The sequence below is a fragment of the Homo sapiens genome, chromosome 17 (genome assembly GCF_000001405.40).
Source record: "Homo sapiens chromosome 17, GRCh38.p14 Primary Assembly".
Lineage (NCBI taxonomy): Eukaryota > Metazoa > Chordata > Mammalia > Primates > Hominidae > Homo > Homo sapiens.
This window is the reverse complement of record NC_000017.11, coordinates 81,044,743-81,071,300: the sequence shown is the minus strand read 5'-3', so window position 1 is coordinate 81,071,300 and position 26,558 is coordinate 81,044,743. Positions and strand designations below refer to the sequence as shown.

The following is a 26,558-nucleotide window of genomic DNA, read 5'->3' as shown; positions in this document are numbered from 1 at the left end:
ACAGGGGCCAGGGGACCAGATCCAGTGCTGACCCAAAGCCCAAGGACGCCACCTCGGGGGTGACTCCCAATCCCGCCCCTTCTCTCTGCTGCCCTCCAGCCACCAGCTTCTCCTTGGGAGAAGCAGAGTTCTTCTCCCACCTACAAAAAAGGCAAAAATGGAATGTGGCCAGCGGGTAACCAATGGGGGAAAAAAAAAAAATCAATGTCTGTGTTGCCATGGTGATGACGGTAGCTGACGCTGCTTCCCCACACACAGTTCTGAAACCAAGCAAGTCCAAAGAGCCACCTTGGTGTCAAGGCTGGGTCAGCATTCAGATCTTGGACATGGGGGTGGAGGGAGAGCAGAGGCCGAGGCTGCCTTCTGTCATCCACCCCCACTGTCCTGAGCCACCACTCCAACCCGCCGGCTCCAAGGATGGGCCCTGGACCAGCAACGCACCATCACGCTGGGATCAAGGACCCTCAGGCCTGCCCGGGCCTCTGGCACCAAATCTGCTCACACACTCCCAGCGTCCCAGGCAGACGGGGGCTCCCGGGTCAGCGGCCATCCACCCGGGGTGGCTGGAGTGGAGGCTGCAGAGGGCCCCTACGTGACACACAGGGGTGGAGATGAGGCTCTGCGGGGGCTGAGCTAACCCGACACCTTCTCCCCACGGGTTGAGCGACCTGGCCAAGCCCAGCTCCCACAGCTGCAGCGGGACAGGCACGCCAGGGCCTTCTCCTGCCCCCGCGTCCACTAGGAACCCCTCTGCAGCAACCCTCCCTGTGCCTCTCTCCTCCCTCCAAAGCACCTTTTGCCTCTTCCTTTGCCCAGTGTCCGCAAGGAGGTTTAAGGTCTGACGGGGCAGAGGGGTTTCTTTCCACATTTCCACCTCCCTTTTGGCCACAAGTGACCAAGGTTGCCCGGCAGAGCACATTCAATACCCAGCCCGAAGGCTGCCTGGACGTCCGCTCAGTGTGGAGGGCAGACCCAGGCCACAGCTTGGAGCAGGGCCTGTTCCTTTCTTCATGGGCAAATTTGCCTTGCAAGACCAACCTCTGGCCAGGCACGGTGGCTCGCGCCTGTAATCCCAGCACTTTGGGAGGCCGAGATAGGAGGATCACTTGAGTCCAGGAGTTCGAGACCAGCCTGGGCAACAAAGCAAGCTCTTGTCTCTACAAAAAGTTTAGAAAGTATACAGGCGTGACAGCACACACCTGTAGTCCTGGCTACTCAGAAGCTGAGGTGGGAGGATCGCTTGAGCCCAGGAGGCTGCAATGAGCTATGTATGACTGCGCCACCACACTCTAGCCTGAGTGACAGAGTGAGACTCTGTCTCCAAAAAGGGGGAAAAGACAACAACAACAACAAAAAACCAAGAAAACAAAAAACCCTCCAATCTTCCTGGGTACAACAAGTGCATCTCCAAAGACCCTGGTCACCTCTGCTGCCTGTTCAGGTCCCACGGCACAGCATCCTCCCAAGGTGCCCTGGGCATGGCTCCCACGTGACCGGCGAGACCAGAGGTGTCCACCGAGGAAGGCTGGGAGGCGAACTGAACCTTGCCTAGGAACGTACTGGCCAGACTGAGCTCGTGAGTGGACAGTCCTGGCGGGGGAGAGTCCCCCGAGTGGGCAGAGGGAGCTGCCATGGATGGAGAACCACGCCCCCCGCCAGGCTTTTCCAGGGGCCTCGCAGACTACACCTCCCGAAAAGGAAGGGGCTACTGCAGAGGCAGGGAACAGACTCGAGAACTCCCAGCAGGCGTCCTTGAAGCCAGCCCTGGACCCCAGCTGCCCAGAGTCCCATGGCATGAGCGGGGGCCGCCGAGAAGCCAGGTGGGCAGTTCAGACCGGCCGCCCCGTGGACCACTCCCCAGCCTCTCTGACCACCTTGCCAGGGGCCACTCTCCCTGTCACCCCTCCAGCACTCCATGGAGATGGCATGAGCGCCGCCCCTCGGTACTTGGATCCAGGACTATCTGTGCCCGCGTGCGTGCTCTGGCTGGGTGTGTGCACGTGTTCAGTCTCTGCCCGGGACACAGTCCAGTTGGCCCTGCAGTGATGTGACCGCCTGCATGTGACTGCTGGTAACAATTACAAAAATGCTTCCAATGTATAAACTGTACCTAGGAGACCGTCACGAATGCCCGTGGACCCACCATTCGGAGCTACCAGAAGTTGATGCTCTGCCGTTTGCCCTTCAGACGTTTAAACAAACAAGCACAGTGGGGACAGCCGGAGGACCCAGCGCATCCTTCTAAGCCCAGCCCCTGCCACCGGGATCACCCCTGGGGCTGCTGAGACCCTGTCCTGTCTGTTTCTACGGGGCCCAGTGCCAGACAAGTCGTCAAATGTGTGACTGGGGAGTGGAGGAGCCTGGAGCAGCTGGAGCTCGGCAGCGGGCACACAGGAGCATGTCTGGGACAACGGTCACAGACACTGTGGGCAAGGGAACCCACTGGCACCTCCCACAGCCAGGAACGCAAGGCTGGACAGAGACACTGGCAACCAGATATGGCCCCCCATCCTGAGAAAGACACCTCCCTGGGACCGGAGTCCCCCCAGGCCCTCCCGCAGGACTTCATGTCACAACCAAGGAGCCACCGAGGTGGCCTTCTCTGCAGTACCAGGCTTGGGGGCACCCTCCCCAGGGCAGGGAAGCGGGGACAGGGGACACAAGAGCGGAGCCACCTGAGACGGGCTCCAGTGCTGGCTCCGTCTGTGCGGCTGCTGACTGCGGGGTCCTTGGGTCGTGGGCTTTGTTTCACACTGATCCTGGGGTCAGGGATTCAGGAGCGGCTTCTGGTTTGGGCCCTGCATCGCTGCCCTCCTACAGCTGGGGCCAAAAGAACACCCGTGACCCGGATGGCACTGACCAGGGTCCTGGCCTCCGGGGACAGACCCCCTCAGACAGCTGCTCTGCAGGGGACAGAAGCCATTCAGACCTCCAGTTCCTCACGCGTGCCCGAGGGGGAGACCCCTGCCATGGGCGTGGTCTGCTCCTAACCAGCCTCGCCTATCTGTGCTCACTGATTATTGACCAGGAGGGAACATTGCTCCTGGGAGAGAGTTTCTCAGCCACTGACTCGCTCCAAACCCTACAAGATGCAAACAGGAGCAGAGGCCGCCCTGAGAGCACCGGCCGTCATCTCCCTGCGTGGCTGCGACCAGTGTCTGCCAGGCCTGACGTGCCCACCCTTCTGCCAACTGGCACCACCCAAAGTGCATGGGACCCACGTCCCCCAGGACCCCAGAGATGCAGACACCTGCCCACAGAGGCTCCTGAGCCGGCACCTGTGCCCCCAGGCCCCTCGGCCTGCGGCCAACACTGTGTGGGGCCACATCGGAGGCAGCCAGCACCTCAGCAGCTCCTGGCTTGAGGAGGAAGGCTGAGCGGCTCCTCTCTTTCCCTCCCTAGGGAGCACTGGTGACAGTACCGAGGGACGGCAGGTGCCATCAGCTGTGCCCCAACCGGGGGACAGGCAGCCCCGGCATCTCAGGGGAGAGACCAGCTGTCCTCCCTGCTCTGGCCGGCTGAGGCCTGACGCTGTGGCGTGAGCGCTCAGGGAGGGTGCCTCCCCGCTGCGATGCTGGGCCAAAGGGAGCAGCAGCAACGCCGGCAGAGGACACCTGGCCGGGCCTCAGAGCCTCTTGCTGAGTGAGACTCCAGCAGCCCCTCTGTGGGTGACGCTCGGAGCTACTGATCACCAGCAGGAAACGGCTCAGGATCAAACCACGAGCAGCCAGACCAGGGGCCCACACTTGGCTGCCGCGGCTGCAACACGGCCAATCCAATCAGGACGGCTGCTAATCTCCCTGCAGAGCTCAGCCTGCACCGCAAAGCTGTTGGCAGGCGGGCAGGGCTGGGCCATCCCCAGCCACAGCCAGAGGGGAACAAGGCCCTCCACCCGCCCACCATGAGGCCCCCCCGCCCCCTTCCCCTGCTCAGGTGCTGGAGGGTCCCCACAGAGTTCAGCAGGAGCACGCGCCTCTGCGAACAGGCGGTGGGGGCCTGAAAGATCCCCATGGGGCGGGAGGCAGGGCCCAGGGCAGCGTCCTTCCCAAGCATCCTGGTGGCTTCTTCAGGTGGCTGTCTCTGGAGCACCCCTGCCGGAGTCCTACTGTAGGGAGGGAGGAATAGTGTGGGGGGGAAGGGAGGTACAGGCAGGTCGGAGCAAGCGGTTGGGCTCTGGAAGGGAAGCCCCCAGGCTGGGCTTGGGCCAGGGGCATCTCGCTTCCCTCTCATCTGCAGGCGCCGCTGTGCTGGAGGTCCGGGACCAACCAGGGACCTCCGTGTCAGGCCCCCTCGGGGATGTAAGGTTGATCTAATTAAGGCCTTCAAATGGTGTCTGTCAGGAAGACTTGGCAGCCTACAAGGCAAGGCCCTGCCGTGAGGGCCTGAAAGCAGGTGTCATGCCCATACACTGCTGTCACAGTCACTGGCCCAAAGGGAGGCTGCGGCCTCCACCTGCAGGAGGAGGCTGGGACACATGGGCCCCTGGGTGCACTGTGCATGGAGCCGCCTGAGCCCAGAGGGGCCGTGACACAGCCTGGCCTCACAGAGAGCAGGAGGCCCTACCAGGTGAGTGACATGAGATGGTGCTTCCGAGCCACTTTGGCCAACGGGAGCCACTGGGGACAGCCCCGAAGTCCCCTTGGGGTTCACATGACCAAGGACCTTCCCTTCTGCACAGGGCCCCACGTTTCAGAGACGCAGAGATGCCGCACACACGGAGGGAGCCACTCAGTGCCTCTAAGAGGGAGGCCGACACCTGCGGGGACAGGAGGGGCACCACCTGACCTGTGGGGGCCCCAGGCCCCAGCTCTCCCAGGTGGGCATTCAGAACACCTGCCTCACTCTGGACAACGAGGCGTGCACTGCAGCCAACAGCTATGGGAAGTTTCCAGGCCACACCTTAATTCAGTGACTCAGTGACCAAAATCCAGCCCACAGTTTCAGGCAGGGACAATGCCCCCTGCCAGCTAACATCCTCATTCTGAGGCTGGCCCAACAGGGAGCTCCTGCCACTCTCCCGGGCACCTGGGGATGCCGGGCAGCTGGCAGAGGACAGGCCCAGTGCGCCCAGCAGGTACACACACGCCCTGTGATCACAAACAAGCATGCTGTGGGCACCAGCGGGTACACAGCGGCCTCTTCAAAGGACAAAAACACACCAGAGGCCTCCAGAGATGGGAAAGGGCTGAGCAAAACAGCCTGGCTCAGGTGTTCCGTGGCAGGGCCACAGAGCAGTTGGACAAGAAACACAACAGGCTCAGGGCCCCAGATAGACAGGCTGGACATGCGGGTCTGACCACACAAAGGAAGTGCAGTGCTCTCTGCTGGGGAGGGCTGCGGCCCCGCTCACTGCAATGACAGCCCCCCTCACTGAAGACAGGGCACCGTCCTGAAGAGCCGACAACTCTCTACAGGGTGATTAGACCTTAGCCTCCCTGCACAGCCAGGCCAAAGGGCAGCTACGTGACCCTCTTTTCATACAGACGGTTCTGGCACACAGTGCTAGAGCCACCTGCCCAGGTGTACACGTTGTACCAGGACCCCAGGTCACTGGGACTCTGGCCTGCTCCTCCCATCTGCCTCTCCCGTTGGCCAGCATAGACCCAGGCTCAGCCCAGCTCTGTGCGCCCAGCCTCGGGTGGGGGAGCGAGAGGGCCTGGGCCATAGGCAGCTGTCAGCAGCAAGGGGGTGGAGGGGTGTGCTCAGGAGTGCAGTCACAGGACACTGCAAACCACAGCTGTCGGTGAGGCAGACTGGACAGCTGTCCTCCACCCGCACAAAGAACCAGTGCCACGTCCACCCAGGCACCCACACGGCCCAGCGGCATGGTGAGCACCTGCCCTGCCCTCCACCCTTGGGTCTCCACACCAGCCCCTGGTGGTGCCAGCCTCCAGGGAGGTGCCCAAAACAGAGGAGGAGCCACTCACACATCTTAGCAAATTCCCCAGATTCCTGAGGCTCTCAGCTCAGGACCCTGGACCCCTGCAGGGGGCCGGGACGGGCACAGCACTGCTTCTGTGACCAGGCTGGGCCCGCCCTCCCTCGGGTCACCTGCCAGGCTTGCTCCTGGGCCACAGGGACACTGAGTGTCTACACATGCCAGGACTGGCCTACAGGACTCAGATCCAGCCGGCCACTCCAGTCTCCCCGAGCTGCCAGTCAACCCAAGCACAAAGCCCAAGAGGATGAGGAGCAGACGCCCCTGGGAAAAGTCTAACCCAGGCACTGGCTCAGGGGCTTTGAGAGCAGTGGGTGTGCCCCGGAATCACGCCTGCCGGAGCTGGAAGGGAGAAACACCATGGCGGGGATTGGAAAACCAGTCAGCCAGCAGACAGCCAAGTGTGGGTGGCTGCCGGCTAGGGGATTAGAAGGGCTGTGAGAAGCTTCCGGAACTTGGAGCTGCCACTCCATTCCCTGACTAAGCGCTTGCCATATCAAAGCAAAGCCCTGAGAGTTAACTGCAGAAACTCTTTCACTGCAGGGAAAAAACAGTCTCTGACTGAAGACGGGAGGCCCTTCCGTCTGTGAGGTCTGCAGGCCACAAAGCCCGAGGCTGCCTCCCCAGCTGTGTGCCAGACGGCCAGAGCCACAGGTACAGAAAGACCCACATCACCAAAGGCCGGCTCTGACCCAGCCACTCCTCACTCCAGGAGAGAGAACAAAGGGGCAGCCCCAGCTGCTCATTTAAAGCAAAAAAAGACTCTCTGGGCTTTCACCCCTGGGCCAGGCTCTGGTTCAGAAGCATGAAAGCTCACGCAGGCCAAGGCTGGCTCCCGGCTCCGGAGACCTGGGGCTCACTTGGAGCAGCACGCTTGGCTACAGTGAGGGGGTGCTGCCAGGACCCTCACTCTTCCCAGGAAGAACAGAGCTCAGGGCTCTGCAGGGAAAGGGGGAGCGGGCAGCATCATCCACAGTGATTAGCCGGGAGTCAGTGCAGCCGAATCCTCGTCATCCTGACGGGGCTGAAGACAGGACCTCCCCGTGAGGGCTACATAGCCCGAGGCCACCTCCCCGGCTGTGGGCACTACAGGGCCAGAGGTGCAGGTACAGAGAGACCCACAGGACTAAAGGCAGACTGCCCTGTGAGTAGAGCAGGTGCCACATGGGAAAGAAAAGGTGCGAAGAATGAAAGTGGGGAAGGAATGAGAAGAGGAGGAAGAAGGGCAGCCAGGGTTGGCACCACTGCTTGCCTGGCAACCCTGGCCCCATATGGCCACAAGGCCACACCCAGAGGGGCCCGGGTGGGAGGCCAGCAGAGAGAGGACAGGCTGGGGCCCTGCTCGGCCGGGTGTCAGGACCAAATCACTGAAAACCACCTCCCGGCCAAGCAAGGGGCTGGTCTGAGCTGAGCACCTCCACCCCAGCACAGACCAGGGCTCTGCCTTCCTGGGAGGGGCTCCACCCACTGAGGGCCTGGCTCATTCCCAGAGAGCAGGGACAGCACCTTCCATCCTCCCATCCTGGGGCAGCAAGGACAGCTGGAGGAGAAGGTGACCAGAAATGAGCAACGTCCCCGGGGCTGAAGAGGAAGAACAGGAAACAAACTCAACACCCAACCAAACGAACCAAAAATAAGACTGTTCAGGGCCAGAGCAAGCCACCTTGCGATAATAGGGCTCAGCTCAGGAAGGCACACCCACACACACGCACTTAATAACACAGCCTGCAAACACAGAAAGCAAAACTCCCAGGGCAACTGCTGAGCCCCCGGCCTGGGGAGTGAGACGAACGCCTCCTTCACTTACTGCCCAAGTGGCTGCCGCACAACCCCACGGGGCCTTGTGGAATTCATCCCGCAGGAGAGCTCAGCCTCAGGGCCCCTTGGGCCTCGAGCTCATCCAGAAAAACTCACCAGGGGTAACTCAACTGCTCACCGAGGAGGACAGAGAAACTGTTACACGTTTATGGAATATTCTACAGCAGTGAAAACGAAGGCATCCGCGTGTGGCAAGAACACAGATGACAGATGGACCCTAAGACACAGTGAGAAAGGCAGGTTGCACAAATCCATCTTCCTGTGGCACCAAGCCTGGAATCTCTACAAGGCCCTGGGCTCCTCAAAGCCCTGCCTCCCCTCCCAGCCTCACCCCCTCATACGCTCCAGACCTTTCACATTTCTGCAAAAGCCTCTTGTTTCTGTCCACCTCACACCTTTGGACACACCCTTTGCCCCTCTCCTTCACCCCTCCTCTTAACCCCTGCAGTCCTCCTCGCTCAGGTCCCCGCTCCTGTGGGCCCTGGAGGCTGCACACCACTCTCAATCATGGAGTGATGCTGTTCACAAGCCTCTCAGGACCTGCCACCACAGGAAAGATATCGGCAGGAAATTCCTAACACCCCAGCACAAACATCTCCAGAGCTGGTGGGGGCGGCGGGGGGGCGGGGGGGAAGTAACACTCACATAAAATCAGCACCAAGGTGGCCCTGAACACAGCAGCGGTGGGAGCTGGAAGACGACGGTGTGAGGCCCTCAGACTCTGAACACAGAGCATCTTCCACCTGCAAACTCCAAACCAGCTAAGCCACCAGCAGAGACAATGGCAGACACGTACTGGCTCAAACACATTCCCCGTTCACCCACTCAGAAACCTAACCGAAAAAAAAAAAAAAAAGGAAAGAAAAAGACAATTCCCCAAATGGTGGGAGTAATACAGGAACAGTAAAGACACAGGACCCAGAAAACACGGGGCTCTGACCCGGGAGGAGGAGAAGCTGACTCTGCACGGCCGAGCAGCCCACGAGGGAGCAGGGAGGCTCCAAAAGGAGAAGAAACAGAGACTGACCTCCCAGCCAACAGCAAAGCCAGTGCAAGGGTGCAGCTGAGGCTGTGGGGAGAAATTCGTGATGGCGCATTGAAAATGAAGCGAACCAAGACGCGAGACCATTATTAACTCCAGAAAAGCAAAGGCGTCATAATAAATACCACAGAGTCATAATAACAAAAATCCATGAGCTATAATACCAAAAAACTGTAATACCAAAAAAAAAAAAAATCAGTCCATTGAACTACATTAAAATTAAATACTTTTGTTCTAAAAACACTATTACAGATCTGGGTGCGATGGCTCATGCCTGTAATCTCAGCACTCTGGGAGGCCGAGGCAGGCAGATCACTTGAGAGCAGGAGTTTGAGAGCAGCCTGGACAACATGGTGAAACCCCATCTCCACTAAAAATATACAAATACAAAAATTAGGCGGGTGTGGTGGCCGGTGCCTATAATGCCAGCTACTTGGGAGGCTGAGGCAGGAGACTCGCATGAACCTGGGAGGTGAAGGTGGCAGTGAGCCGAGATTGCACCCCTGCACTCCAGCCTGGGTGACAGAGTGAGATTCGGTCTCAAAAAAAACTAAAACCACTATTACAAAAAGGAAAGGCCCACCAGACTGAAAGCAAATATGTGCAAAATAGATTCCTGGCAAGGGACTTCCATCTAGAGTATACAGAGGACTCTCGTAACTTAAGAAGACAAAAGCCAAGTGAAACAAAGGGGGAAGATTCGAACACACACTTCACCAAGAGAGATCAGTGGTGAACAAAAACACAAAAAGATGCTCCACAACATCAGTTAATTAAGGAAATGAAAATTTAGGAACGCCCCAAGCTAAAAACACCCAGGTGTCCATCAACAGATGAGGGTACGGCCAAACTGTGGCACCTCCGCACAACAGGACCCTGCAAGCGACGAAATGCAACAAATTCCTGACGCGCGCAGCAGGAAGGCAGCTCAGAATAACCACGCACACCCGAGGAAGCTGGACAAAAAAAGAAGACACGCCGTATGGTTCCATGTATGTAAAACTCCAGCAAATGCATGCTAAATTACAGTGACAGAAAGCGGATCAGTGGTTGCCTGGAGATGGGGAGGGAGGGCCCGAGGACTCTTCGAGAGACGGACAAGTTCACCATTGTGATTGTGGCCACAGCTTCACAGGTGTACACACGTCAAAACTCATCACACTGGACACTCAGACACCTCGATGAAGTTGTACAAACAGTCATCATAATACACCGTCTGCCTTAGCCATGAAAAGAATTTATATCATCAGATAACACCGTACATGAGTTTAAACAAATACTGTGATAATTATACTGGGTGGGGCAAGGGACAGCATAAAAAGGCTAAGTCCACATCTTCCGTAATAAGAATCCTTTCGATGATGTCTAAACTTTTTTTTGAGACGGAGTCTCGCTCTGTCTCCCAGGCTGGAGCGCAATGGCACCATCTCGGCTCACTGCAACCTCCGCCTCCCAGGTTCAAGCGATTCTCCTGTCTCAGCCTCCCTAGTAGCTGGGATTACAGGCGCATGCCACCACGCCCGGCTAATTTTTTGTATTTTAGTAGAGATGGGGGTTTCACCATGTTGCCCAGGCTGGTCTCGAACTCCTGACCTCAGGCAATCCACCTGCCTCAGCCTCCCAACGTGCTAGGATTACAGGTGTGAGCCACCGCGCCCGGCCCTGTTGGAGGTAGAGGAGGAGGAGGAGGAATGGCATAAACCTGCCCTCTTAGACACGCAGCCGAGGGAGCCGCCTCTGTGCAGTAGGACTTGGCCACACTAGGAGGGTGGGAAGTGGCTGACTTTGTTTGAAACAAGGATGTGTTGCTTTCATAAAAACTCAACTCCCAGCCATCTGACCCGGCAATTCCAGTTTCGGTGCATGCCCAGGAGAGATGAAAACAGGCTCACAGCTGCCGGAAGGTGACAGCAACCCCAGATAAATGAAATGGGTCTGCCTGTGCAATGGATCATCGTTCAGCCACAAACAGGAATGAAGCCCTGACACGGGCTATAGCACAGAGGGACGGTAAACATGTGCTCAGGGAAAAGGGTCAGACACAGAAGGTCACACACCGTATGACTCCATTTATATGAAATGTCTAGAATGGGCCAGTCCGGAGAGACAGACACAGTGGTGTGGCTGCCAGGGGCTGGGAGCGTGGGGATGAGGGAGGGACTGCTTAAGGGGTATGGGATTTCTTTTTGGGGTGCTAAAAACGCTTTGGGGTGATAAAAATGCTTTGGAGTTAGATGGGGCAATGGTTGCACACTGTAAATACACTAAGCCACAGAACTGTACACTCTAATGGGGTAACTGTATGGCATGTGAATTCTGTCAATCAAGCTGTTACCGGGAAGAAAACCTGACTCCCAGAGCAAGGCTGACATGTGGCTGGCCCTCTGCAGATGCACACAGCGGGGCTCCACGCTCCAGGAGGAGCCCGGGGAGAGATTCCAAAAGGCCACAGGTAAACAGACGCTCCCTGATCCAAGTAAGAGCCCTCACGTCTCCCTCTCTTCTGAAGCTTCCCTCCTCCTCCTTGTGCCCATGTGGGCTCAGCGCCTTCTTGCAGTCAACCACCAGGGACTCCGCCAACAGGAAGTTCTGGAATCCCACCCATTTCGGACCCACCCACCCCTCACTGTGGGCCACAAGAGCCTGGAGTTCCCCACGGGCAGACCCTCATGCGACCAAGGGGCGAAGACACCTGGTCCTCTACCTCATCTCCTCAACACCTGGTTAATTATGGTAAGACAATGCCTCTTTCAGCCAGGCGTGGTGGCTCACGCCTATAATCCCAGCAGTCTAGGAGGCTAAGGTGGGAAGATCACTTGAGCCCAGGAGCTCAAGACCAGCCTGGGCAACACAGTAAGACCTTTTCTCTACAAAAAATTAAAAATAAAAAATCAGCTGGGCGTGGTGGCGCACGCCTGTGGTCCCAGCTACTAGGGAGGCTGAGGCAGGAGGATCACTTGAGCCCATGAGTTCAAGGCCACAGTGAGCCACGATAGTTCTGCATTCCAGCCTGGGCGACAGAGCAAGACCCTGTCTCTAATGAAAAAGAAAATGCCCCTTTCACAGACACCCACTGCTTCTGCCCTTCTCCAAACCCTGAAGACCCGGTCAGGGCCCAGGAGCTCCAAGGCAGGCTGCTGTTGGTTGCACTGGAGTCTCAGCCTCCGTCACCCTAACACCATGCATCTCACACGTCATCCTCCAGGCTGAGTCTGCGGAGGCCCGGGGACCCCGCCCAGAGTGCCTCCTCCTCTCCTCCCCAGTCTGTCAGCACAGCGGTGCCTCGAGAAACTCCAGCCGCCCGGGCATCACCAGACCTGCAGCAAACACGCCAGCGGGCCTGCCCAAGGCAGCAGCCTGTGGGGGCGTGGGGGGGGGGCTCCGATGAGGGTCCGCAGGGGGCTGCGAAGTGCGGCCGGCAGGTCTGCCTCCCGGCGCAGGACGTCGTGAGTGAACTGGAGAGAACGGGGCCTGGACAGGCAAAGCTGGGTTCCTGGGGTCCCAGCCCCAGAGCCTCAGCATTAGGGAGACGGAGCCTCTTCTGGGAGCTGGAAGTGACACAGAGCAACCCACGACCCCCCAGCCCACCGCCTGCCGACTCAGCCAGGGCCTCTGTCAGTCAAGGGGGCTTTCAGTCCCCGAGAAGAAAAGTAGAAAGAAGGGAACAGGGCCAGTCACAGTGACTCTTCCCCATCCGAGGGTCTCCAGACCTGCAGACCACCTCCCAGATTGGCGGCCACGGGGAGACGGTCAAGAGTGAGCGCAGCCTGTCCTCCGTGACCAGAGGGAAGAGGAATCCAAGTGGTTTCTCCAGCGACTCAGGCTTCCTTGTGCGTCAAGGGCCGCTCTGCCGGCCACAGCTCGCTCTGGGAGCAGCAAGTGAGCACAGGCAGCCGGCCCGGGGTCTCCCAGGCGGGCAGAGGAAACCTCAGCACCACCCTGCTAGGTGAGGGGACTGTGGAAGCATGGACTCCGTCTAAGCCACGCCTGCAGCACCACCACGTGGGCCCTGAATTTCCAGGTTTCACCCTGTGTCCCTTGACATAGACGTCACAGGAGCGATCACAGAAAATTTGCTAAACACAGACAAAGCATCAATAACATAACCTGCCCTCCAGGAAATCCACCCACTCACGCTGCTGGGGTGTCTTCCTCAGGGCCACACCACACGTGGGCTTGCATCCTTTTTCACTCATTTTAATACCAGGAATGAATTCCCACGCCATCTAATCCCATCATCCAAGCACACAGACCCCCATGTCAGCCGCTCCAATTTGCCGGGAACACTTTTAAACGTGGGTTTGCCTGCTGTCCTCACCCCAGGCTGCACGCCTCAGGGGACGGGGACCCAGCACCCACTTTCAGCAGGGTGTGCCCCACAAGGCAGCTCCCAGGGTGACTGTCATTAAAATATTTTCCTATTTGACAGGCAAAACCTGATCCCAAATCAAAAAGCGGCTGGACACAGGACAGGGCCCCAGAGCTGCCTGAGGGCATCAGGCGACTACCAGGCGGGGGGGGGGGGGGGGTCTCACCGAGTTCTTTGGAGCCCTGGCTCTCGCTGGCCAGCTCCCCCATCTTCACCAGGGCGTCAAAGTAGCCTTTGGCTGCATACGTCACACCTGAGAGAGAAGAAAAGGGAGCAGTTATTTCCTCCACGAGGGACAGACAAGACCCCCAGCAAAAACACGGCAGTCTTGGCACGCACAGGCCCAACCCTGTCTCCTGCCCAGACAAGCTGGGAGAATACTCGACTCGCTGTGATTTCTGGGTTGGACAGAACCCATCTCTTGTTGATATTCTTGTTTCACCCCAATCATGAGAGCTCCCTTGACTCGTAAGAACACAACGTACCAGTTCAGGTCCTGAGCTATTCAAGTCAAATTGCAGAGAGCTGATCCCTATCACGTGCTACCAGGCAGGGCCGGGGGGAGGGAGTGTTGTACTAACTGTATTTCATGAGACAAAGAACCAACCCTGGGCAAGGAAACTGCAGAGCTGGGCAGTAGGAAGCCATTTCCCCACAGATCCCCAAGCTGAGCCTGGAGTGGGAGAACTATTTCCAATTGCTTCACAGTCTCAGACCAGGACGCCCGTCACAGCTGATCAAAGGAGGCTAAAGGCATTACTTGGTATTGCCGCCGCCTGAGGGGCCTCCCAGCATCTCAGAGGCAGAGTCTGATCTAATCAGAAGTGGGTGTGAAGGGCTCCGGGCCTGCTGAACTCCTCCACAGCCACAGGGGTGGAGCAGGCTCCTGGAAGAGCCTGGGCTTCCTCCTCAGGGACTCCAGGGAGTGCCTGGCAAACTCCTCCACCTGACAGGGAGCCCCGCCCTGACCTCCAGGCCGCAGAAAGGGCGGGGCAGGGCCCCGGAGAGCAGTGTAATTACAATTTCTAATCCGTTTTCTACAGAACCCACTTAGGGGCCTATAACTGGGCACTTTATCAGATTTTATTTATATACTTTTCAATTAAGCGCACAATTTGTTCTGCGGCACAAGACCACGTCCACAGAGGAATGAAGGCCTGTGCCTGGGACGGGTGTGCTGCCTCGAACAAAAGAAAAACGCAACAGCAGAAAAACGCAACAGCAGAAAAACGCAACAGCAGAAAAACGCAACAGCAGAAAAACGCAACAGCAGAAAAACGCAACAGCAGAAAAACGCAACAGCAGAAAAACGCAACAGCAGAAAAACGCAACAGCAGAAGTGAGACTCCAGGGCGGCTGGCTGCGGCTAAGGTGGCGGTGCTGCCTGGACGGCCGAGCTCATTCCCACCAGGCCATCAAGAAAAGCAGGAGCAGGAAGTAAAGCTCCAAGTCTCCACACTCAGCCCCGCCACCCTCATGAGGAACCAAACAGGAGCGGAAAGGCCCGAACGGAACCCACGCCTTGGTGGCATCAAAGGGCCGAAGTGCCTGCTCACCCAGAGGAGGGGAACACAGGCCCCGGCCCCCACCGCAACCCACTGAAAGCGGCATCCACACCACTTCCCCGTGTGCGGACGACGGGGAAGAAACCCACACCTCGGAGAGCCACGTGAGGGCTACGGAAGACTCTACCGTAGATGAGGTCACCAAGTGTCCCACAGACGAGTGGCTCTGGAAAAAGGAAGCCATCGTCAGTCTGCAATGTGCAAGACCAGCCCCCATCTCCAGGGGTGGGATCATCTGGACTCTGGATTCTCATTGTAATGGCCAAGATTCAGACCCAGCCAGGAAGAGATGAACAACTGGTCTCATTCACAGGGCACGGAACTTAGCTGGGCCCGGAGAATCTGGACATCGTGTGCTGTGCCTAGAGATCATGGGGTCACCACAGTTGGAAGCCCTCTGCACCCACCTCGAGCCGGGCCTCAGCCTTCCTACTCTGATTCGGGAGCCTCTCTCCAGCGTCAACATTTCAGGCCAGAGGCAAAGGCAGCTCTCCCTGGGACCCCCATGAAGCTGCCCAACAACTGGGGTGCACCATAGGGAAGCAAACCAGGTGCAACTTCCACCAGGAGGCCACGCCGACCCTCAGAGCTGCCACAGGCTCTGCTGCCGACCTCCACTACCTCATCCAAGAAGCTCCTGGCTGGGGGACGGGGGTCACTGCCACAGCCCAAGCATCTCCACTGTCATGAAAACCCTGCAGACGGCCGGGCGCGGTGGCTCACCCCTGTAATCCTAGGCACTTTGGGAGGCTGAGGCGGGCGGATCACGAGGTCAGGAGATCGAGACCATCCTGGCTAACACAGTGAAACCCCGTCTCTACTAAAAATACAAAAAATTAGCCGGGCGTGGTGGCAGGCACCTGTGGTCCCAGCTACTCGGGAGGCTGAGGCAGGAGAATGGCGTGAACCCGGGAGGCAGAGTTTGCAGGGAGCCAAGATAGCGCCACTGCAGTCTGGCCTGGGCAACAGAGTGAGACTCCGTCTCAAAAAAAAACAAAACACCCTGCAGACTTTCGCTGGAGGAAGGACAGCTCTTTAAGACAATTTTGATGAGCAGGTCCCTCGGGTGCAACCCCGGGCCCAGGGATGTAGAGGAGGGGCAGGGTGGAGAGAAACAAGGCTGCTGCTGGGGCAGCCATGGGGGCCCCTGCAGGGTGCCGGGTGCAAACAGGAGGTGGCCCAAGGGAGCTCCCTGTCCCATTCATGCCCACAAGGAAACATGAAGGCCACCCCCAACTAGATGTGGCAGGCGGGCACAACTGGTCCACCTGGGGAGCTGAGAAGGAGGGCAGTGCCAGGGACAGGCCTTCTGCCAGGTGCTCGGTTGGAGTGCTTTCTCCCCAGGTGACAACGGAGTAAAGGTGGTAAAAAAGGAACGAGGGCTGACCAACTCCTGCCCCGTCCTTGACACCTCTAACCTGGCACCAAAACTGGACAACCAACTCCACCCAACCCATGGGTGCCGCAACACCAGGAAGCGGTGGAGGAGCCGGGGGCGCCGGCAGAGACGCAGCACGTGTCCCGGAAAACACACGATCTCCTCCCTGCTGGGGATGTGGACTCTGCCCATGAAGATGCTGCAGTTACAGGGACAGACACGGTAGAGGGTACAGGGAGACCGGGGGTCACTGTCCAAGAATAGCAAGTCCCCATCCATGGCAGGACTCAGCCAAGGGCACCTGCGGGGCCAACAGGGCAGGTGAGAAGGGCATCTGGCGACAAGGAAGCCACTCCCCACCAGGACGGAAAGACCCAGGTGCACCCAAGGCCCCGCAGTGGAGTGCCTGGGTGGGGTGGGGGCGATGGGAAGCGTCTCAGGGAGACAGTGGGAAGAATGGAATGTCCCTGCAGCCACCAGTCCCCCACACCCTCTGTCCCGGCTCTTTGTGAGAAGGAGCTGCAGGGCGTTCGCTCATTTCTCAAACCCGAAGCTGCTGCAGTTACCAACAGCTTCATCCCAGCCCTGATCCCACAGTTTCTACATGATCCTGAGGGACTGACATCCGCACCCCTCCCGTCTCTAGATGCCACAGGACAAGAGCAGCCCGCACAGGCAGGGGCGTGCTGCCACAGTGACAGCAGACCCAGTCCAGAATGCATGGGCTACACCTTCACTCAGAGCCGCTGTCCAGCTTTGTTGCTGGAACAGAAGACCTCCTTTCGCTCCTGACCAGGCCCCACAGGCTGTGCCCAAGTCCATCTGCCAGCTCAGGAGGCAGCTCCCACCCCACGGGGCCCGGGCACAGTTCTACCAGCTCAGGAGGCAGCTCCCACCCTTGGGGCCAGGGCACAGTTCTACCAGCTCAGGAGGCAGCTCCCACCCCAAGGGGCCCGGGCACAGTTCTACCAGCTCAGGAGGCAGCTCCCACCCCACGGGGCCCGGGCACAGTTCTACCAGCTCAGGAGGCAGCTCCCACCCCACGGGGTCCGGGCACAGTTCTACCAGCTCAGGAGGCAGCTCCCACCCTTGGGGCCAGGGCACAGTTCTACCAGCTCAGGAGGCAGCTCCCACCCCACGGGGCCCGGGCACAGTTCTACCAGCTCAGGAGGCAGCTCCCACCCTTGGGGCCAGGGCACAGTTCTACCAGCTCAGGAGGCAGCTCCCACCCCAAGGGGCCCGGGCACAGTTCTACCAGCTCAGGAGGCAGCTCCCACCCCACGGGGCCCGGGCACAGTTCTACCAGCTCAGGAGGCAGCTCCCACCCCACGGGGCCCGGGCACAGTTCTACCAGCTCAGGAGGCAGCTCCCACCCCACGGGGCCCGGGCGCAGTTCTACCAGCTCAGGAGGCAGCTCCCACCCCACGGGGCCCGGGCGCAGTTCCACCTGCCAGTGCCTTCTCGTAATTCTTCCCCATGGCGATGAAGTTCCGGAGGCTAGGGTTGAACTGCTCCATGATGGTCTGGAAGAAAGCAGAGAAGAAACAGCATTACTGGCAGAGGTCACCCTGGTGACTCCGAAGGGTCCGAACACAGAGGAGAAAACCCAGAGCAGGCACCCCTCCTGGGGGTCGACACCACAAATGCTCAAGGTGGGCTTCCCAAGTTCAAATCCCAGCCATGCCCCTGATCAATGTCCTTGGGAAAATGACCTTCCTGAGCCTCGGTTTTCACACCTGTGCAAAGGGGGTAAGAAGAAACCCGGCCGCAGAGGAGTGTCTGCGGGCTGAAGGAGCGCATTTGCATGGTGCAGCAGGCAGAATACAACTGGCGCTCAGACGCGCCGCTGCCGAGGTGCCGTTCCCATTGGCGCGGCTGAGTCAGCCCAGAAGGGCCCCCCACCGGCCATACACAATCGCTCAACGACGCCGGCACCCCCCTCCCACTAAAATCCTGCTCAACACATCAATTACCAAACCTCAGCTCTGATTAGCACCACTGCAGCCTGATCTGCAGATGCCGTGCTATGAATAATCCAACGGCTCTGGGTCTGTTTGCCCGACGGACGGGCATCTCGGTGCCAAGATCAGCAGTTCTTAGACTCAAGAAATTAGATTTTCACTGCGAAGGCCAAATAAATGTTTTAATTACAAGGGATAAAAACAGGCACACACAAACAACAGCCAAATGAGAATTCTACCGGCATAACATACACTGACTGTCAACAGCCAGCCCCTGCCAGCAAGGGCCCAGGGAGCAGCTCCAGCAGAAACCCCCAGCTCAGCCACCTCCCGTGTCTTCCGGTCATTTGTTATGATGTGATCCTGATCTTTCCTGAGGATCACAGGAAGGGAAGCCGCCCAGCCCTGTCGCAGACAAGCAGGAGGCTGTGGGGCCCCAACCCACCCAGCCCCAACCTGTGGGCTAGAGAGTGGGGAGGGAAGGGCAACTGCATCCCCCACCCCCTCTCCCAGCACCTGGCCTCAGCCTCCGAAGCCAAGAGAACAGATAGAAAGGGCATTTAGGGACAAGGAAGCCACTCCCCACCACGGGACCTGCCTCCAGAAAACCCGCTATTTGACGAGTGTTCCATCCCCTGCCCTGAGGTATGGCCAGGGTGTGTGTTCTTGGGAAACGAGGCCCCGAGTTCTGCACTACGCCGGGGCTCACAGCAGGCCGGGTACACCTCAGTCCTGCCTATACTGGACCCTCCGGTGGTAACGCCACCCGGCCAAGTTCCAGGGCAGGTGCTCCTTCCTTCCAGGACGCAGCAAGGGTGAGGGCGCCTTTGCGTGCTAGCCCAGAGGCCACGTGCACGGGGGTGGGGGATGCAGCATCGACCCAGCCGCAAAGCCCTGCTCGCACAGAGCCAACATCTCCCGAGGGAAGGCAGGACTAGGAGGGCCAGCGCTTCCGCAGAAGTGGGATAGGCGTGCTCAGCGAGACGTGGAAGGCAGGCAGGGAAGCACTTTCCATGCCAGAGAGCAGTGGGCAGACCAGGGCAGGGCAAAGGCCCCGAGGCAGGGCCCATGGTGAGTTCCTGGGAAAGCAGGACCCGGCGTGAGGGTGGAAGGGGCCCAGGGGAGGCAGGAAGAGGAAGAGGTGGATGTGCTAATGGGATAGCCCCTGAGGCCCGGCTGCATGAAGCTAAGGAGGGTCTGAGCAGAACGATGGGCCAGCTACATTTAAGAGATTCCGCTGGGTCAGATGCGGTGGCTCGCACGTATAATCCCAGCATTTTGGGAGGCAGAGGCGGGAAGATCACTTGAGCCCAAGCGTTCAAGACCGGCCTGGGCAACGTGGTAAGACCCCATCTCTACTAAAAATTTAAAAATTAGCTGGGTGTGGTGGTGCATGCCTGTAGTCCCAGCTACTCAGGAGGCTGAGGTGGGAGGATTGCTTAAGCCTGGAAGGTCAAAGCTGCAGTGAACTGTGATTGTGCCATTGTACTCCAGCCTGGGTGACAGAGTGAGACCCTGTCTCTAAAAAAAATAAAACAGGCCGGACACGGTGGCTCACGCTCGTAATCCCAACGCTTTGGGAGGCCAAGGCAGGCGGATCACGAGGTCAGATGGAGACCATCCTGGCCAACGTGGTGAAACCCCATTTCTACTAAAAATACAAAAAGCCGGGCTTGGTGGCAGACGCCTGTAATCCCAGCTACTTGGGAGCCTGAGGCAGGAGAATCGCTTGAACCTGGGAGGCGGAAATTGTGGTGAGCTGAGATTGCGCCACTGCACTCCAGCCTGGCAACAGAGTGAGACTCTGTCTCAAAAAAATACATAAATACAAAAAAACAAAACAAACAAAAGAGAAGATCCCTCTGGCTGCTCAGAGGAGACTAGATTTTAGCCAAGGGCCCTGGCGTATGCTGGGAGACCCATCAGAGGCTCTGGGATGTCAGAGGGGAAGAGAGGCATGTGCTACGCAGGCCTCTGATCTAAAGGGACGGGGATGCTGGAGCAGAGAGGCACGTACCACGCAGGCCTCTGTCCTAAAGGGACGGGGATGCTGGAGCACAGCAGCGTTAGCACTGAGCTAAACACTCAGCAATGAACCAGGAGCCTGGACACTTTAACTCCCAGGAGTGCCTGGGAGCCGGGGCAGGGAGGCCACACCGGGAGTGGGGTGAGATAGGTCTGGCGCCCAGGAGAACGTGAGCCAGAGACAATGCCTGAAGAGTTACCAGCAGAGAGGAGAATGCTGGGACCTGGTGCGCTCTCGGCAGCCTGGTTCAAACTGACCATGCAGACCGGGACTGGCGGTGAAGGCGGTCGGGAAATGCTGCCGGATGCGCGTTTCTTGTGATGAAATCAAGCAGAAGGGGGCATCAGCCAAGTGAGGAGGATGCGGCCGACTCTAGTGTTCTGGTGTGCGTGTGCTCATGTCTGCATGCACATCTGTGCCCATGTGTGCATACACACATGCATGTGTGCATGTGTGTCCACGTGTGCATGTGCACATTTGTGTGCGTGTGTGTGCTGAGCTGCAGCATCAAGCATGTTTCTCACCCTGTGTGACACAGGTATGAAAACACTACCACGGAGGTGGGCGTGCCAGAGCAGACCCCTTGCTCACAAGAGCCCCACGCGCTTGGCTCCAGGACCATGACCCCCACAGGCCCCCGGGTGGAAGAGGCTCAACCTGAGCCCTGTGAGCTCCACTAACATCCTGAGCAGCAGGAGAAACAGGCCAGGAGCCACCCAGGGCCAACCACGGCGGGTCAGCACGGCGGCCATGCCTACCGCATGACGCACGGGGCAGCACCAAGGTTTCGCTTCCTTAGTGCAGCAGCTGAGCTCACACGGAAGGAATGCAGGAGACAGCGGGCAGGGAACAGCCACCAGGACACCTGGGCACGGCCCTGCCTCCATCTGCAAGAGAGGGGCGGCGGCCGGGACACGCAAGTGCTGCTGTCCTGGCCCGAAGGCAATGGCAGAGGCATCGATCCCACTGAGCCAACATTGTAAGGGGGGACTCCCCTTCCCGGGCGGGCGGAAGGGCCAGTTCCTCCTTCTGCATCTGCATCCAGCCGCTGGGCCAGCAGAGAGGCCTTCTGTGGAGCCCTGCCTCAGGCACGCACTGTAGGTGCCACCCACCCCTCCTCCGGGTTCCTCCCTCTCCCAGGAACCACGGGAGGAGCCCAGTGGCCCCTGAAGAGCCCAGCCCCTCTGCTGGGAGACCATCTCCAGTCAGGCGTCTGGTCAGGCGTCTCTCTGAGCCTCCGAACCAGTCCATCCCATTATCCTAGAACACAGGCACGGGCCATCCTGACCCAGTGGGCCCGTGTGGAAGTCCCCAGCCTGAGGAGAGCCCACTGTGGGGCATACACTCCAGTCCCGCCTCCACTTCCACCTCCGGCTCCCCTAATCAGGCCAAGGTCCTGGTCCGGGGGCCCATAGCCAACAGGCACTTTGCAGTGCCTGGGGGTCCCCAGGTGGGGGCAGGGGAGCCAGTGACAGGCAGCTCCAGCTCTTCCGGAATGAAAACCAACAGCAGCGGCCCCAGGTGGAAAGAACTCTGTTCTCAGCCACACCGACGTGGCTTTTCCGAGTCACTGAGCGAGTGTATCTTTTTGCAGGATGCCACCAGGAAGGAGCTGAGCTCAGACGCCCAGACGCCCTGACAGTGCTGGGGCAGGGGATGGGGAGGAGATCGGGAAAGTCTGTGGGCTTTAAAAGGGGAAGGGAGCTTGTTTCTTATCAACACCAAGAGGTGCAAAAAACCCAGAAAAACCTAGGCCAGGAGAGAGAAACCGCACAAGAAAATAACCTCAAGCCCTCAGAGGCGCCACCCCCACACGGCGGCTCTGAAGTGAGTTTGAAGCCCAGCTGTCCACACTGAGGGCGCTCAGGGACACGCTGTGCCATCCTCAAGACCACAGCAAAACTGAGAGACTCCTGGGGGGCCACAGGCACAGAGAGAGCTCCCCAGGGGCCCACGTTCTGTGACCCCATGCCCCCCTGCCAGGACAGAAATCCTACACCATGAGCAACCACCACACTCCTCAAACTCCAGGACCTGTGCAGTACAAACGCAGCCCGGCGCGTGCAGAGCTCTGCTGTGCCCCCGGCGACCACGCACTGGCTCCCTGGGCCGCGTTCCCGGGCCGGCACGGACTTCCAGTTCCTCGTTTGTTCATTCACTATTGACCAGGGAACACCTTTCCCACCCCAGGGGGGGTCCTGGGCCGGCCTGCCTATGAAGGGGGTCCTGCCCATGAAGGCGGTCCGGCCCACGAGGGGCTCCCACACACGCCATGGAAGGCTTCCCCTCATAGGACGCATGCCGCGAAGTGCCGGGAGAGGAGGGGTCCCTGCCCAGGGATGCCCGCACGCTTGGCTGCCCTCCTGCTGGGACGTCCACAGAGACGGATGTCCCAGTGGCCCTGGAGTCGCATGGAATCCAGGCCTTGACCACAGCAGGGACCCTAGCTGTCCCTACTACAGCCCCCAGGGACCCCAGCTATGCATTTCTGAAGGTACAAATGGGAGGGCCGTGTCCATCAGTTGCAGAGGTGGCCGTCAGAGAACATTGATGAGCCCAGGGAGCCCTTTTGGCTGGCGAGCTGCTGGACACTGCTGGCCAGCCTGGAGACTGATGGCCATTATGATTCAGTGCTACGGGCCGGCCTGGCCAGTGTGGGCACAAGGCAGCAGCAAAACCCCCGTCATCTCCACCTCCTCCCAACTTGGGGAACAAAGGGAGAGTGGCCAGTACATTTACAGAAAGGACCTCTGCCAAAGGACTTTGCTCTCCTGCCCACTCCTGGGCCGTGCTGGGGTCCACCTTCCGTCTGCTCAGGAATTCTTTTTTTTTTTTTTTTTTTTTTTTGAGACAGAGTCTTGCTCTGTCGCCCAGGCTGGAGTGCAGTGGTGCATTCTCAGCAAGTGATTCTCCTGCCTCAGCCTCCTGAGCAGCTGGGATTACAGGTGTGCACCACCACACCCAGCTAATTTTTGTATTTCAGTAGAGACGGGGTTTCACCATGTTGGCCAGGCTAGTCTCGAACTCCCGACCTCAAGCGATCCGCCCGCCTCAGCCTCCCAAAGTGCTGGGATTACAGGCGAGAGCCACTGCTCCCGGCCAGGAATTCTGTTTATCCCTTGGCTCTCCTTCCTGTGACGCTGGCCGCCTCTCCAGCGCTTTCCTGGCAGGATGGCCACAAACAAAAGCAGTCTCTCTGCTGACAGAGAGTGTCCCCCACCTCCCTCCAGCCCCTCAAGGCAGATGCCAGGGTGGGCGCGTATGGCCACACCCCTAGGGCCTGCGTGCATATGGACCCATGCATGCACATATATCCGTGTGTGTGCTGCGGCCATGTGCTGCATGCGTTTACCTGTGCATGTACACTCACGAGTGTGCTAGATGCATGTGGACCCCTGTGTGTGCTGTGGGCATGAGCTGGGCCTGTGTGTGTGCTGTGGGCATGAGCTGCATGTTTACTTGTGCATGCACACTCACACATGTGCTGGACGCATGTGGACCCGTGCGTGTGCTGTGGGCATGAGATGGACCTGTGTGTGTGCTATGAGCATGAGCTGCGTGTTTACCTGTGCGTGTACACTCACACGTGTGCTGGACACACGTGGACCCGTGTGTGCTGTGGGCATGAGCTGGACCCATGTGTGTGCTGTGGGCATGAACGTGTTTACCTGTGCATGTGCACTCATGCGTGTGCTGGACACACGTGGACCTGTGTGTGTGCTACATGTGTCTGTGTGTGGCCAGGCTGAGCCGTGTTTTCTATCTACTCAGAAGAACAAACAGAGAAAGAGTCGATGCTAGGACCCTCTCCGGCTGCCTTAGACCCTCATCACCCTAATCCTCACCCAGCCCCTCCATGAGAGTCACTGTCCCATCTTACACTGGACAAGATGAAAGTGAGGCTCAGGAAGGCAGGGGCCAGCCTGTCAGCTCTTGGTGGAGCCCAGAGTCCTGGCTTCAACCCTGCTGACCACACAGCCAGCCCGGTCCCTCTCTCCCAATTGGTCCTGGTGTTGCACCTGACATGCTCCCAAAGGCCACATTCCAGTAATATCAGGAAAAAGGGTGACTCGATCCACCTGGCCTCTCCCAGGAGGGCCAATGCCCAGGGTGGCTGACTGTTGAGGGGAGGGGCCCTGCCCACCCACTCCCTCGCCCACGGACCAGCACAGCTCCTGAGGGGCCAGGCCGCTGTTGCCCACTGGACCACCGCCCTCACTTCCACCTCTGTCGCGACAGGCAGAAGCCGGTGGCAGCTGCGGGGCCGGCAGTGCCAGAGGGGCTTCCCCCAGCCCGCTGTGCCACCACAGCCACAGCATGAGGACCCCACACACAGACACGGACCTCACAGCACCCACGACTCTGGTCCACGTAGACTTGACGGGACTCTGCCTAGGATGCCAGGCTCCAGGGAAGGGCGCACGGGACAGAGCCAAGCCTGGAAACCCCCGGCCACATGTACAGCATGGACTAGGGAGGTACAGGAGGGGCCCTGCAGCAGTGGACAGTGTCCTCGCGGGAGGACACCTCAGAGCTTGCTGTCCGGGGGCCACAGGCTCAGTTCCCTTGGCTGCCAGGGGGGTTGGGGGACTTCTGTGGGCAGAGAGCATCGGGAAGGTGGCAGCGTCCTCCAGGGCGGGCCACTGCTGACCCCACACACAGGAGCACCGATGAGCTCCAGAGCCTGGGAGCTGGCTCACAGGGCAAGAGGAGTGGGGGCTGTGGGGGTGTGAAGGAAGCCTGGCTGGAGTGGTGTGGACAGTCCTGTCCCCTCTAAACACTTGGACATCTGTCCTGGAGGATCCTTCCTGAAGGAAGAAAACCAACTCCAGGAGCACAGCTGGGAGGGCTGCCTGGAGGAGGCAGATCTTGAACTGCATCTTACTTGGTTTGAGTCGGAGACAAACTACAAACACATGTACACGGATTTAGGAAACGAGGGGATGCATGGAAGTTTCTGGGAGGAAACGGCGCGCAGGGTTAGGACGGGGGCCTGAAGGTGGGCTGGAGCCTGCAGAACGGGATCCCAAGGGGGACGGTGACAAACCAGGCAGAGACACCATCCTCCTCCTTACCCCCTGCAGCTGGGCGTGCAGGAGCCGGCAGCTCTGCCTCCCTGTGAGTATTAATAGGGTCCCCACAGCCGAGGGGAGAAGAAAACTGGGTGGCCAAACCCCTCTGCCGTGCCAGGGGCCCCCACCATGAGCCCCCCCAGGCCATGAGACCCCGCAGAGGGCTCTGGGTGTCAGGAAGCAGGCACCTCTCTGGAGGCAGGAAGAGGCCAGCCTGTTCCACAACAGAGGGGGCTGGTCCCCCACCCTTCCCCGGGGGGTCAGGAGGGGCCACTAGGCTTCTCCAAGGGCAGCTTCGGCGTGGCCTGGCTGACCCAGACTCCCCCAGAGCCACTCAGATCAGACAGATGGAGGGCACACCCCAGCCCCTCCTGGAAGACCGAAGGGAGACACCCAGGTCCCACGCATACCAGGGACTCCTGCAGGGCCCTGGGCAGCCTGGCCATGGGTCATGGTGGGATCAGCGTGAGGGGCTGGGATGTCCCCTAAGGTGGTAGCTCCAGTTCTCAGCCTCCAGGAGCACCCACAGAAAAGCCATCCACATCATAATAAAGTGATTCCTTGTGTCTTTGGCACGGTGCCCAGATATGACCAGGAGCAGGTGGCCTCCCGCCAGGAGGGGCCCGAGGTGCAGGGACTCCTTCCCTCATGCTGCCTGCCCTACCCGCCAGGCTCCTGGGAGGTCCCAGGACAGGGACCATGAATGCTGCAGCTAAAAACAACAGGGACAAATGCCAACACTAAGGTCAGCTCCTGAGCCAGGCGCTTCTGCCCTCCGCCTGTGGGAAGGGCCACACGGCCATTCCCCTGGGCCCCCAGCCCCAGCCTGGGGCCCTGCTTCCCTTTCAGGGTTGCAGCAGCATCTCCCTTTCCATGGGCCTTGGACACCTGCACGCCCTCTGCGAGCTTTCCCCTGGCGTCCTCAACTCTCAGGGGCCCCAAGTCTGAGCCCTCCTGAACGAGGTCCCAAGGAGCAGAGGTCCACAAGGGCAAAAGCCACACGTGGGGCCTTGCACGCAGGACACCATGACCCGGCCCACGCAGGAGGAGCCGCAGCCCAGCAAAGTCCAAACACAGCACCAAGCAGTCTGGCCACTTCCTTCCTGTCCGAGAGGCACATCCTGCCTATCCCAGCTTCAATGGGGACAGAGCCCCTTACACACACCTTCCAATGTCCAGCCACCCTGGCCCGGGTCACAGAACTTAGCAACTGCTCAGCCTCACGGGGTGTCCGGCCCACACGGGACGGTGCATTCCGGCTGCCTTTCGCCTGTGGCCAGCACTGAGCTGGCGCCTTGCCAGCTGACTGCTCGTCCAATAGAATCAGCTGTCCCCGTGGAAACCTTCCTGTTGTCATAAACTGCGGGCTGCGATCTGACTGAGGTTGGA

The 26,558-nt window shown here is 59.2% G+C and overlaps 1 protein-coding gene across 37 annotated transcripts in view, besides 9 other annotated features; it reads right to left on the bottom strand.

The window, feature by feature from the left end:
• Nucleotides 1-26,558, bottom strand: part of BAIAP2 (BAR/IMD domain containing adaptor protein 2) — an 82,284-nt gene that overhangs the window by 46,134 nt on the left and 9,592 nt on the right. For 30 of the 37 annotated variants that reach the window (NR_169579.1, NR_169574.1, NR_169577.1 and 27 more), the window contains 2 exons: nucleotides 17,558-17,633; nucleotides 13,334-13,420 (listed from right to left, as the gene is read on the bottom strand). Coding sequence is in view for 30 of the 37 variants with exons in the window: in XM_011524193.2 (XP_011522495.1) it covers nucleotides 13,334-13,420; nucleotides 17,558-17,633 (163 nt within the window). In the remaining 7 variants the exon portion in view is untranslated. Of the gene's footprint in view, nucleotides 1-13,333; nucleotides 13,421-13,506; nucleotides 13,568-14,823; nucleotides 14,899-17,531; nucleotides 17,634-26,558 lie in introns of those variants that run through there. The other 7 variants (NR_169580.1, XM_017024017.2, NM_001385147.1 and 4 more) reach the window with 3 other exon arrangements.
• Nucleotides 6,151-6,757: an enhancer, noted in NCBI's record as "NANOG-H3K27ac-H3K4me1 hESC enhancer chr17:79038344-79038950 (GRCh37/hg19 assembly coordinates)". NCBI's record gives its function as "activates a minimal SCP1, AML or CMV promoter by ChIP-STARR-seq in naive H9 embryonic stem cells {active_cell/tissue: H9 hESC(naive)}" and the evidence as "EXISTENCE:reporter gene assay evidence [ECO:0000049][PMID:30033119]".
• Nucleotides 7,365-7,972: an enhancer, noted in NCBI's record as "H3K4me1 hESC enhancer chr17:79037129-79037736 (GRCh37/hg19 assembly coordinates)". NCBI's record gives its function as "activates a minimal SCP1, AML or CMV promoter by ChIP-STARR-seq in primed H9 embryonic stem cells {active_cell/tissue: H9 hESC(primed)}" and the evidence as "EXISTENCE:reporter gene assay evidence [ECO:0000049][PMID:30033119]".
• Nucleotides 12,529-13,420: an enhancer, noted in NCBI's record as "H3K27ac-H3K4me1 hESC enhancer chr17:79031681-79032572 (GRCh37/hg19 assembly coordinates)". NCBI's record gives its function as "activates a minimal SCP1, AML or CMV promoter by ChIP-STARR-seq in naive H9 embryonic stem cells {active_cell/tissue: H9 hESC(naive)}" and the evidence as "EXISTENCE:reporter gene assay evidence [ECO:0000049][PMID:30033119]".
• Nucleotides 13,421-14,310: an enhancer, noted in NCBI's record as "H3K27ac-H3K4me1 hESC enhancer chr17:79030791-79031680 (GRCh37/hg19 assembly coordinates)". NCBI's record gives its function as "activates a minimal SCP1, AML or CMV promoter by ChIP-STARR-seq in naive H9 embryonic stem cells {active_cell/tissue: H9 hESC(naive)}" and the evidence as "EXISTENCE:reporter gene assay evidence [ECO:0000049][PMID:30033119]".
• Nucleotides 14,311-15,202: an enhancer, noted in NCBI's record as "H3K27ac-H3K4me1 hESC enhancer chr17:79029899-79030790 (GRCh37/hg19 assembly coordinates)". NCBI's record gives its function as "activates a minimal SCP1, AML or CMV promoter by ChIP-STARR-seq in primed H9 embryonic stem cells {active_cell/tissue: H9 hESC(primed)}" and the evidence as "EXISTENCE:reporter gene assay evidence [ECO:0000049][PMID:30033119]".
• Nucleotides 17,844-18,650: an enhancer, noted in NCBI's record as "H3K27ac-H3K4me1 hESC enhancer chr17:79026451-79027257 (GRCh37/hg19 assembly coordinates)". NCBI's record gives its function as "activates a minimal SCP1, AML or CMV promoter by ChIP-STARR-seq in primed H9 embryonic stem cells {active_cell/tissue: H9 hESC(primed)}" and the evidence as "EXISTENCE:reporter gene assay evidence [ECO:0000049][PMID:30033119]".
• Nucleotides 18,651-19,459: an enhancer, noted in NCBI's record as "H3K27ac-H3K4me1 hESC enhancer chr17:79025642-79026450 (GRCh37/hg19 assembly coordinates)". NCBI's record gives its function as "activates a minimal SCP1, AML or CMV promoter by ChIP-STARR-seq in naive H9 embryonic stem cells {active_cell/tissue: H9 hESC(naive)}" and the evidence as "EXISTENCE:reporter gene assay evidence [ECO:0000049][PMID:30033119]".
• Nucleotides 21,755-21,804: an enhancer, noted in NCBI's record as "active region_12954". NCBI's record gives its function as "activates an Ori minimal core promoter by ATAC-STARR-seq in GM12878 lymphoblastoid cells {active_cell/tissue: GM12878}" and the evidence as "EXISTENCE:reporter gene assay evidence [ECO:0000049][PMID:35858748]".
• Nucleotides 24,814-25,358: an enhancer, noted in NCBI's record as "H3K4me1 hESC enhancer chr17:79019743-79020287 (GRCh37/hg19 assembly coordinates)". NCBI's record gives its function as "activates a minimal SCP1, AML or CMV promoter by ChIP-STARR-seq in naive H9 embryonic stem cells {active_cell/tissue: H9 hESC(naive)}" and the evidence as "EXISTENCE:reporter gene assay evidence [ECO:0000049][PMID:30033119]".